The sequence below is a fragment of the Homo sapiens genome, chromosome 8 (assembly GCF_000001405.40).
Source record: "Homo sapiens chromosome 8, GRCh38.p14 Primary Assembly".
Classification (NCBI taxonomy): domain Eukaryota; kingdom Metazoa; phylum Chordata; class Mammalia; order Primates; family Hominidae; genus Homo; species Homo sapiens.
This window is the reverse complement of record NC_000008.11, coordinates 106,678,905-106,691,835: the sequence shown is the minus strand read 5'-3', so window position 1 is coordinate 106,691,835 and position 12,931 is coordinate 106,678,905. Positions and strand designations below refer to the sequence as shown.

Genomic DNA, 12,931 nt, shown 5'->3' with positions numbered 1-12,931 from the left:
ATTGTATCGCTTCCCTTTCAAATCTTCTACCAAACAACTCAAAAATATGCTAAGAAAAAAATAGCTGATGCAGAGCTATAAGAGGGTCCCCTGCAAACTGGCAAAAAGCTATCAACAAATTTTGTGATTCCTCAATTCCCCCAAAACTGAGTTAACCGCATTAGTCACACACAAATATAAATATATGTGTGTGTATATATATATATATATATATATGTATATATATGTGCACATTGTCATATGCTTTCCTTAAATGAAGATATGCCTTTTTGAACAATATATGATCTCTGAGGTTACCTGAAAGTCTGAACTCAGTATCTATAGCAATACCAATTTGTCAATGTAATTCTTTTAAAAAGAATATGAGATTAGCAAATGCTCAAAGCAAAGCACAAAAAAGGAGATTACTTTCAAAAAAGATCAAAGTTGTTCAGAGGAATTACCAGACCTCACCGTAACTTACATAAATGTACACTATTCAAAGTATTAGTATCTCTATGTAGATGGTTTTGAATGCTATTTTTAAACTGTGATTATTAATGAGGTGGTTTTGCAGCTCATTTGATGGCTTGCTGATGCTTCCCTGCATAATTTTGTTTTAGCCACCAGAGAAGGTCCTTAAAAATATAGAAATATAAACATCTATATCTATCTATCTAGCCTCATTATTGCCCCAAATATTCAAATGTAAAAAAGCAAAGCATTGCTAGGGCAAATGATTTACAAAAAGTTTAATAATCACCTAGAGTTATCTTTTTTTGTAGAATATATTATACAATATGATTTGTATGTTATTATAAACCATTACCATAAATGAATTAGCAACTCCAAACTGTCCACTTCCCTTCTTGCCTTGGCTTTATTGTATTTTTCCTCTTTTGCGATTGAAAATTTGTAGAAATGTTCTCTAGTAACACATAGGTAGGGCAAAGGAAGATTGAGGAGGAAAATCCATACAGGCACAGAAATACCAACATTTGTATTTACTTCATGCAACGTATATACTATATATCCTTTAAAGAAAACATTTACTTTTGAAGCAGTGTATGCTGTATTTTTCTTTCAATCCAATATATACGATGATTGCCATTTACTGTCTATAAATTATGTTCAATAATCTCTACTTCCTGGGACCAAGAACTTAAGAATGTTTAAAATCAAATACAGAATAAAATAATAAAATTAAAATATCGGGATCAATTTTTAATTCTAATTATGGAAATAATGTTTCCATCTGGAATCTAGGAAAAAAAAAAAAACTCTCATCTAGTAATTTACCCATTTCTTGTGATGTTAAAAATACAGGGATTTCTTCTATATAAAATATTTGTTTCCTAAAATCTTCGCAAACACTAAGTCCTATTATAAAGTTTAATTTTTCAGATACTAACCATAAAATTTTGTTCTAAGAATATAAGACCGAGGTATAATTACAGTATAATCTATTAAAAAGTACATATTAAAAAACAATTCCTTACTAAGTTGTTATTTAAAATAGGTTTAAAAGCATCAAAGCTAAATTATATGTAATAATATGAATGTAGTATATATGATTTATGTGTTATTTACACATTTGAGTGGTATTGATATTTATAGTTTTATTATAATACATAAGCTTACATTTAATATATAAGTTATATATCACATAAGTTGTATATATTTATATTAACATTGAAGTCTAAAAGCATTGAAGTTAAAATCATAATTTAGAAAAAATTACGATTTATATATTCTATAAAAGAGATAAAACATGTTTTATATATAACATATAATATTGTATATGATAGATATTAGTGTCTTTAATTTTAAGTTAAAAAATATATATTCTATATATGCACAGAGAGAAAAGAGAGGTTATGTTTGTGAATTGTTAAAGGATGTCATATGTGAAAGCAATTCCTGAAGCACAGGCGATATTTAACCTTTTCAAACTACTTTGATATTCCTAACTAAAATTGTTTTAATTTCTTGCATGTCTGCTATTACTTGTAATTAATGTCTATTTTCAGGTATACAGGCATACCACTTCAAGATGCCAATTAATTATGTGACTATCATGATTAAAAAAGAGACGTTTTTAAAAAAGTTTTCACAATATTTTACAAATATTCACAAGCTTCCCAAAACCCTATGAGAAATTAACTTAACCCTTCAACATATCTTAAATGAAGAAAATTAACTAAACATCTCTTAGAAAATCTTACTTGACTAGAATTAGAAAGTTTTCTAAATTTCCCCTTTCCTTCAAAGACAAAAAATATAAAATTCTAGAATATAAATAAAGCTCCATAATATAAATTCTCTATAATTATAATTTTATGAGGCAATGTTATGGTTTGACTGTCTCCCCCAAAATGATAATGTTAAAGCCCTAACCTCCAGTATCTCAGAATGTGACCTTATTTGAAAATAGGATTTTTCAGATGTAATTATTAATTTAAGGTAAGGTCATACATGAGTAGGGTGGGCCCTTAATCTGACTGTTTTCCTTATATAAAGAAGAGACCACCATGTGAAGACATACATACAGGAAGTAGATGGCCACTTGTCACAAGGAAGGCAGAAAGTGGTGATATATTTACAAGATAAGGAATGCCAATGATACTTGGCAAACACCAGTTAGAAGAGGCAAGAAATGATTCTCCTCTACAAGTTTCAAAAGGAGCATGGTCGTACCAATAGTCTGAATTCAGACTTCCAGCCTCCAAAACTGTATGGTAATAAATTTCTTTTGTTGTAACCCACCCAATTTGTCACCCTTTGTTATGATAATACTAGGAAACTAATATAGGTAATTAAAGAACATTTCTAAATCTTCTACATTTTTATTTTTGCTTTGGCCAAGCAAAAATTTCATGCATTACTTCCACACAGTTCTTTACTACAAACTTCCTAGTTCCTATAAATTGTGACACATATATTTAATTTAGATCATATGTCTCAGTTATAGAGTACCTGCACTTGCTAGTAGTCATCATTTCATTACTTAGGCAGTACAAAAAGTAGTTAAGAACACAACACAGAATCTAGACCTTGACTGCCAGGTTTTCAGTCTCAGTTCTACCACTTACTAACCATCATTCTTCTCTCTATGCCTTACTTTCCTCATTTTTAAAAATACAGATCATGATTATTGTACCTACCTCATGGGGTTAAAGATTAATTAAAAGTCTAAAGTAATTAAAATGTTATTAAAGTGTTAAAGATTAAAATTCTGAAATGAACACAGTAAATACATAGTAAGCACTCTTTAAGTAAAAAAACAATAGCTACTGTAGCAGTATAATCACAGCCTATCCTTAAAAAGGAAGATTTAATATGCCTACATTCTATTGCTATTTTATACTTTTTCCTCTTTCCTCCTTTAGGACTTCCTAGGCCTTCCTCAGAATCTCTTAAAAGTATTTTTTTTTCAAAATTATATTGTCTTATCATCATGTGTATCCAATTCAAGTGTTATTAATATTCTATTTTTATCATATTTTAGATTGATTAGAGTATTATACCATGTTTTATCTTAAAGAGAATATGACTATCTGCATATCCCACCCTTCAATAGAGTATATTAATATAAACATAAGTACTTTAAAATTATTTCGTTTTTTCATATTACTTATTTTAAACATTTTTCCACTGAACTTCATCCTGAATATAACACATTAACAGTTTTACCCTAAAATGGCATTAGCATAATGGGTGAACTTACAGTACAAAGGAGAAAAACCAAAGGTGTACAAAACAAAAGCAGGTTTCTATATTTATTCAAAAAATGAGAGATTTAAAGAATCTTAGGAAGATGATAGTGCGAAATGGTAGCTATTACTATATCGACTTTTATAATGATTAAATATTACTTAACTCTTTGGGTCCAATTATTTATTGGGCAAGAGTAGTGTTTCTGAGTTATCATTTTCCAGCTATAAAGTAGTAATAAAAAATATGGGCTCCGAACCAAGCCCATCTGGGTTAGAATCTTAGCTTAGCTACTAGCTGAGTGACCTTAAACACAAAATAATTAACTTCTCTTCCTCTGTTTCCTCCTCTATAAAATGGATACAATACTTATTGGTCAGGTACTAGAAAAAACAGATGGCACATCAAACTGAGCTTTTTTTTTTTTTTGAGACAGAGTCTCACTCTGTAACCCAGGCTGAAGGGCAGTGGCGTGGCTCACTGCAACCCCCGACTCCTGGGTTCACGTGATTCTCCCACCTCAGCCTCCTGAGTGGCTGGAATTACAAGTGCCCGCCACCACACCCGGCTAATTTTTGTATTTTTAGTAAAGATGGGTTTCACCATGTTGGCCGCTCTAATCTTGAACTCCTGACCTCAAGTGATCTGCCTGCCTCGGCCTCCCAAAGTGCTGGGATTACCAGCGTGAGCCACTATGCCCGGTAGAAACTGAATAATTTTAAGAGGATTTAATTATGGAACTATTTACAAAGGTACATATGGTGTACAAAAACCCAGGGTGAACAATAACAGAAGACTCCTCTATCCCTAAAGAGGTAAGGGGGAGAAACAGATACCTAAATTTAGAGATGGCTCTGTGGAAAGGGCTGACAAAAGATAAGATGAGATGCTGAAGAATGTGGTCACTCTGGAGTAACCTTACAGGGAAGGAGCTAGGAGAATAAATATGTCCCCATCTTATTCTCTCTTTCCTTCCCCCTTATCTTCTGCAACTGCTCCAGAAAGAAAACCACCAACAGAAGCAAAAGGGCAAGAGAGAGTGCACTGATGCAGTCTACCACCCAAAGGACACTAGAGAATACAGAGTAAGTCTGGAGGGACAAACACAGAAACCCAGGCCAAGTGCCTACCTCATAAATTTGAGATAAGAAATAAATAATACTTTTAAAGTGCTTAGAATTATACCTGTTGCAATACTACATTTTAGCTATTTTTATGATTTTTACCATTACTTTGGTTCTATCTCCTTCTATATTTCTTCCTCCATATGTGAACAAAAAAAAGTGAAAAATAAAGAAAAAATAGTTTTCCATGGAAATTCTCAAAATGCAATATTTTTAAGTGAAAACGAATTATTACCAATGAAAGTCTTTATGCCGACAAAGCCAGGAACATATTTTTAGCTTCATAGTAAACCACTACTAAGCTGGACATTCAAAAAATTTATCAGTGGTTGCTGGTAATATAAACTGACAATTTCTGGGAAAAACATATAATAACAATACTAATAGACATTATTTTAATTAGTGTAATGAAAATGTAAACTATATCTAATAAAACATAATATCCTTATTTCTAAGGGATTTATACAGCATGGGAGACATAAAACCCAATAATTAGAAATATAGAAATATAGGCACTTGAGATATGCAGAAAGTCATAGAAATATTATCCTGGAGCCTGGTAATGAATATAATCCTAGGTAAAAAAAATACAACTAAAATTTACACAATCAACTGTTGTAAGAATTATTTCTAACTATTGCCCATAATCTCTTTGATGGCAGGTAAAGAGTATCATTCCATGTAAAGAGAAGTTTACAAACTCTTCTCTTACCTCTTTTTTTTTTTTTTTTAATTATTTTCCATTTCAATATGTTTTCAGGGAGCAGGTGTGTCTGGTTACAGGAGTAAGTTCTTTAGTGGTGATTTCTGAGATTTTGGTGCACCCATCACCTAAGCAGTGTACACTGTACCCAATGTGTAATCCTTTACTTCTCACCCTGCTCCCACCCTTTTGCCTGAGTCCCCAAAGTCCACTATATCATTCTTATGCCTTTGCATCCTCATAGCTTAGCTCCCACTTATGGGTGAGTACGTGCGATGTTTAGTTTTCCATTCCTGAGTTACTTCACTTAGAATAAGAGTCTCCAATTCCATCCAGGTTGCTGCAAATGCCATTCTTTCATTCCTTTTTATGACTGAGTAGTATTCCACGGTATATATATACCACATTTTCCTTATCCACTTGTTGATTGATGGGCATTTGGGGTGGTTCCCTATTTTTGCAATTGCAAATTATGCTGCTATATACGCATGTGCAAGTATCTTTTTTATATAATGACTTCTTTTCCTCGGGGTAGATACCTAGTAGTGAGATTGCTGGATCAAATGGTAGGTGTACTTTTAGTTCTTTAAGGAATCTCTCACCTCTTTTTTTTTTTTTTAATCTATCCCAGGGACAAAGAATTTACTCATATCACTGGCCAAATTACAGGAAGTTTTTTGGTCCATCTTTGACAGTAGCTAAGTCACTGAGGATTAAAAGATCATTCACATAACTTTATCCTCTCCATCTCTTTCAGTCAAATGGCAAAAGTAAGAAGGGGTACATTTTCACACAGGTTGAGGCCTGGCCTTGTTGCTCCCTTAACTTTCAACATTTTGTTTTCTTTGATCTTATACCTTCCAAGAAAGCCAGTAGACAGGCAGATTTAGGTTAAAGCCGAGGAACAGGAAGAGACCCCACAGGTTTCTAGTCAGGCATGATGCTACAGCTTAGATTTTCATCATTCTGCTTTAGGGTTTGAAACACAGGCTAAATTAACCTAAGGCTACGTAGTTACTTTGTCATTGCCCCTTATGAGTACATCTCTTTGTAAGTCCCATGGGAAAATGGCATGGCTATGTTCAAAAAGGTATTGTGTCATTTGGTAAGTAATACCTACCATTAAAACCTGACTTTTATTCTTATCAATGATGACAACAAATGTAATATATTCCTTTCATGTGACTGCATTCTAAAGCATAGTATTGCCATAATTATATAAAGAAGATATCCATCAAATAAATGAAAAAGGCCTCATTTCTCTCTCTCTTTCTCACACACACAAACACACACACATGCAGAAAAAAGTTCCCAGGCAAGGAGAAAAATAGTTATTAATAATATCATGTAATTTATTCTATGAAAGGCAAAGAAATATATAATATATAATTCCTTTCAGAAGATTTTAATCAAAATTATTAAATGAAGTTTAGTTCCCTGAAGTTCATTTGTAAAATGTAAGTTATTAGAACACTCATTCCTTAGAAATGCTAGATAAATTAATCTACTATGTCAATTCTTGGATGACTAAGATGATAAATTATTTTTTAAAAGGCAATGTGTCAAAATTAAACTCAAGAGTTCTAAGTACTATATACTCATTTATTTATAGATGAAATAAACATCAAATTGGACATGAACTTCCTCTACTGTGATAATGTCATGTTTTTTGGGTAAGATTCCTTTGTAAGTTAAATTATATATGTTCTTTAAAAAATAAGAGTTGATGAATATTTTTGGCCCACAACCACCACCTACAAAGGTAAGTCAATTTAAGCTATATGGTTTCATAAGAATGTCTTATTTTTAAAGCTGGGATTTACAAACTTAAGCAACAAAATAAAAAGGAAATATTTCATTCTAACCATAGTCAAAATGGAATGTAAAAAACAAGACAGTCAATGTAGACAAAGTGAGATTTCTTCATCGCCATCTTTGCAAAGCAGAGATACTTACAGTGGTCTTATCAAATTCAGCCTCAGATGATGTTGGTGACAGAGGACTTACGGGGCTTAGAGATGGAGAGCTCTCAACACTGGAGACATATTCAGGATCAGGAACATACAGAACCTGTAAGAAAACATTCACACAAAGATTTAGTTAAAATGAAGTGTTAATAATTAGATGGTGTTCTATAAGCAAGCACTATTAACAATTACCAATTAAACAGAAAAACATAAAAATTTTCAAATTATAAGAATATAAAAACATTTTTAAAAAAGAACCTTTAAAATCAGTTTAGACACATTTGATAATATATACGGCTGGAATAGGGTGAGGAAACATTAATTGTCATACACTATAGAGGTGTCACTCCTAAAGGACAATTTGGCAATAGCTAGCAAAATTTAAAGTGCACATATCCTCTGATATAGTAACTTTACTTCTAAGAATTCACCCTACAGAAATACTTACATTTAAAGAAAAACAGATGTGTACAGGCATGTTTACTACAGCACTATTGACCTTAGCAAAAGAGTAGAAATAGTCTAATGCTTTAAATAAGTATGATATATCAATACAATGTAATACCATGCACGCGTGAAAAAGTCTGAACTAGAACTGTGATTAAATACAACACTTTCCAAGAATCAAAGTTAAATTAAAACACAACAACAACAACAAAAGTAGGCTAGATTATTCCTGAAAGAAATGCAAACTGCCAACTGGTTGCTTCTGGAAAAGAAACTGAAAGTTTGAGATGGAGGGATGCCTTACTTTGATAAAGTAATTTTTTATCATATGCATATATTGTTCTGAATATTTTAAAAAGCTCTTTGTAACTATATTTAAAAAGAAAAATCTACAATTATTTTCAATATGTATTAAAAAAGAAACTAATACAGACATAAAACAGTTAATTTTCTCTTACATGGCCAATATGATTTGTTAAAAGCACATATAAAATTATTCTCAAATTTTCTATATTATTAACTACAGTACAATAAATACTTTCTGCCTTTCTGTTTAATGTTTCTAAACATCAGCACATTAAAAAAAAGATACTACCTGTCCAGTAACAACTGCTCGGGAGAATAACTTATTTAATTGAACAAGTTCGTTAGGTGTTGTATCAAACTTCAGGGCTATGCTATTCAAAGAATCCCTTGATTCAACCTGTTTAAAAGAAAAAATAAATTATTTCAATGTTTAAAACAGAAAAACTAAACTATAATATTTAATGAGCATTAATATATCTAGGGACCAGCTTACATTTGATTAACAACTGGTATTGTCATCTTTGAAAATAACTGTCAAGAAACACTGTGTTTTGTTAGCAAATGCTCTTAATCTATTACAATACAGAGTAAAGGCTTCATCACAATACATTTACATGTAGGTCTCTACTTCAAGTAATTTCAAAATACAAAACATAATTTAAAAGTCAAAAACTGATTATTTTCATTTTACAAAGGTTTTAAAATAATACACTATTCCTTTGAATAGTTTCTAAAATATATGTGACTTCTAGCAACATACTAATTTCATTTTTGCAAAGTACACCTGTATTAAACTCAAAATGATCTTTATGCATATATTCTGTCATTGCACATATAAATTAGAAAAATATTTGAACTAAAGTTGAGTTATTTAGTTCTGAATCATTCGTACGTTTCCATGATCATATGTGTAGAAATCATAAATAATGAGATTTCATCAATTACCCTAAAAGAAAATGTCACTTGGCCAATATAATATAACCACTTAAAGTCCCCATTACACAAGGCATTAAGAGCGCTCTAAAGAAGGCCGGGCACGGTGGCTCACACCTGTAATCCCAGCACTTTGAGAGGCCGAGGCAGGTGGATCACGAGGTCAGGAGATCGAGAACATCCTGGCTAACACGGTGAAACCCCGTCTCTATTAAAAAAAAAAAAAAATGAGCAGAGTGTGGTGGCGGCGCCTGTAGTCCCAGCTACTCGGGAGGCTGAGGCAGGAGAATGGCGTGAACCCAGGAGGCCGAGCTTGCAGTGAGCCGAGATTGCGCCACTGCACTCCAGTCTGGGCGACAGGGCGAGACTCTGTCTCAAAAAAAAAAAAAAAAAAAAAGAGAGAGCTCTGAAGAAAACACAAATAAGTGCAACTAAAAGTCATTTTGCACAAGGAATTTACAATCTAGTTGGAAACTAAGATAGAAAAGGTTATGCAAAAGATGAACAATTTAAAATGGAATAATGAATGCAATAGAAGTTTTGAGTATGAATAAAAGCACCATGTAATCCAAATTTTCCAGAAAAGACTACAGAAAAGAAATGATTTAAAGCTGGGCCTTGAAGAAGGGTTGGGAATTTGAAAAGTAGAGAGAAAGGAATGAACTTTCAAAGTGAAGATAACAGAACTGACATAGTTAAGAGACAGAAAAGCATAACATATTTGTGGGATACTGTCCTCTTCCTCCTAAACCATCCAGAGTAGACTCATGAAGCACAAATTTTTGGGAAGGTGATTACATGGAGTTAAGTCTCTAAAAACGATAAAGAGGCATTCAGAGGTCAGACATGGTGGGTCATGCCTGTAATTCCAGCATTTTGGAAGGCTGAGGCAGGTGGATCACTTGAGCCCAGGAGTCCAAGACCAGCTTGGACAACATGGCAAAATCCCATCTTGACAAAAAATACAAAAATTAGCTGGGCGTGGTGATGCATGCCTGTAGTCCCAGCTACTCAGGAAGCTGAGGTGGGAGGATCACTTGAGCCTGGGAAGTTGAGGCTGCAGTGAGCTGTGATAGCACCACTGCACCCCAGCCTGGGCGACAAAGCAAGACCCTGTCTCCAGAAAACAAAATAAAATAAAATAAAAAAAGAGGCATTTAGAATTAGGTTATAGAAGATTTCAAAAGTCAGGAAAAGCAGGTGCGTGTGCATTTGTTTGTGTATGTAAAACAATAATATACATATTTTCCTTAATGGTTTTATAAAACCAAATTTATGCCAAATATTTGGGTTAATACAATAATAATCTAGTTCTGCCTACATCCTTCTATGCAAACTTCCCCATCTACACAATGTACTGATATAAAACCTATGTTACCGAGATAATATATATAAAAGGTCTCTGTAAACAAATGATATTTTGCAGTAAAATCTGTAAGTTTACCAAGTACTTTCATAATTAATAATAACACATTTTATTCTCACAGTGATTCTATTAAATGAGATGATGAAGGTAACAAAACAGCCCAAGTGGCATCTCATATTACTGGCATCAGGGCTAGGATTACTGGAACAAGAAAGAGAAAGGATGCAGAAAAACAAAGATAAGGTTTAAAGTAATAAAAATGTAAAGAAAGAAATTAAGGTACAAGATTTCAACTAAGACTCAAGAGAAGACATTCATGGATTGAATGGAGTTGTGGTGACAGCAGTAGCAGTAGGTCAGGGAAGCAAATGTGAATGAGCAAACTGATGCTGACTCTAAAGACTGCAACCTGAATGAATAACAAACTGAAAGGGAACGGAAATGAGAAAATCAGGAATTGTGGAAGGATGGAGGAAGAAGAATTGGTAAGAGGCTTCCATAATTTGTTTAGTATGAAGTGATAGTAGGAAATGCAAGCAACTAGAAAGGGAGGGATAGAAAAAAAGTTTGGGTCTCACTCCACGTAGTTTATAAAGTTCTTAAGCACTCCAAGTAATAGAATGTCAATAGAAAAGCAAAAAGAAACAAGGGACCACTCACATTGGGAATTAAGAAGAGGCAAACACCCAGCAAAGCAGACAGAAGATACAATCAAAATAATAGCAAGGTCAACAAAGCATAATGATAGCAAAATGTAGTACAATTAGTTTCAATAAAAAATTAGAGTTCTGGAGAAACAAAATAGAGGAAGGAGGAGAAAATGGCAATCAAAGATAATTACCAAGAATTTTTCTAGAATTTATGAGTGACATGATTTCTTAGGCTGAAGAAACACAATAAACATGATAAAAACATGTATATATCTAAATTTTTCATATTGGCACTGCAGAATTGTAAAGACGAAGAAATTTTAAAGGTTACCTATAAAAAACTTATTTGAACTTATTTTCTCAATTATGCAGAGAAGGTACAAACACACGCAATTTGAGTTTAAAATATGCTGTGAGATTATCTTGATATTAGTAAATTTTATTTCATCCTAAATTATCTGATTCCTTTTAAAAATATTTAAAATCTCACACTGTCCGCTATATATGAATGGTATATCAAAATAGAGTATAAATTAGAATTTTGATAATTTGTTCAATTTTAAAGATGCATGGAAAATAAGAGTCAAACCAAGACTGGACGGTTTCATAATGATACAAATGCTAAATTAATGTTTAAAATTGCTGTTCTCCTTAATACAGTTATGTTAGAAAAACACAGAATAACAAAATTAAGCTCAGTTAAAAGTGCTTTACAACACGTTAACATTATCCAAATAAACAATCTTTACATTCAATCAAATATGCAGCATACCATATACCAAAGCTGATTTCTCACTTCAGTTTCCCAGAGTAACCAGAAATGTGAAAAGCCAGCTGACTGCAGGAAGATTTGAAGTTCATTTCAAGAATACAGAAAAAAAAAAAAAAGCTCAATGTTTAGAGCTAAAGGGAGTTAGCTATAAATAAATACAAATGATTTAATGTGGAAGGTTATACTGGAAGATTAATATCAACTTTTCTTTTATGTATCCCATCTGCCATTATAACTATCACTAGCACTGCTGCGAATATAATGAAGATCACATTTCTAAAGAACTAAAAATTTTCCTAAAAGCCTAACCTAATAAAAATTATTGGCCCATGGGAACTCTCTCAGTAAACTATCATCTATATTAAATTAAATTTTCTAGGATAACTACCTTTATATCTCAGTAAAATTTCTCTTTAAAGAAAAAAACAACAACTAAAAAATAAAACAATTATCCAAAGTGAAATACAGATTTTTAAAAATAAGGCAATTAACAATGCTTGTCTTATTTATAGTATAAACAGAGAATGTCTTAAAGAAGACTCTTACAAAGAAAAATAGCTTTTTCGAAAGCAAATAACTTACAGTATACTCAATAGTCCCTTTAGGTTTCTGAAAAGACATTCGTCTTCCATCTTTCTTGTCTAGGGTCTTCTTTTGGCCAGTGTCTGGGAAAAAAAGGCAAAATTCCTATTAAATTCATCTTTCTTTCAGAGTAATGTCAAGGACTACTGAATAGAGCTCTTTGGGCAGATGTCTAATTTACTAGTAATACAGCTTACTCCCTGGGATGCTCTGCTGTAAAAATCAAGCAACTGTCAAAAAAAAGGAACTGAACTTCCTACTTGCTTGCTTTAGGAACTTAACTAGTATGAACCAATAGAATAATTGCAAGTCAACGCAAAACATAATTGTCAACAGAAAGGAAGTCATTAAAAACTAAATTACAATTTATTTCAACAGATTTAACCTG

General features: G+C 32.4%; 1 protein-coding gene across 17 annotated transcripts in view; it reads right to left on the bottom strand.

Annotated features, from left to right (window-relative positions):
* The window catches only part of OXR1 (oxidation resistance 1), a 482,517-nt gene that overhangs the window by 60,859 nt on the left and 408,727 nt on the right, over positions 1–12,931 (bottom strand). For 15 of the 17 annotated variants that reach the window (XR_001745547.2, XR_007060735.1, NM_018002.3 and 12 more), the window contains 3 exons: positions 12,544–12,626; positions 8,530–8,637; positions 7,477–7,590 (listed from right to left, as the gene is read on the bottom strand). Coding sequence is in view for 13 of the 17 variants with exons in the window: in NM_018002.3 (NP_060472.2) it covers positions 7,477–7,590; positions 8,530–8,637; positions 12,544–12,626 (305 nt within the window). In the remaining 4 variants the exon portion in view is untranslated. Of the gene's footprint in view, positions 1–7,476; positions 7,591–8,529; positions 8,638–12,543; positions 12,627–12,931 lie in introns of those variants that run through there. The other 2 variants (XM_047421921.1, XM_047421922.1) reach the window with 1 other exon arrangement.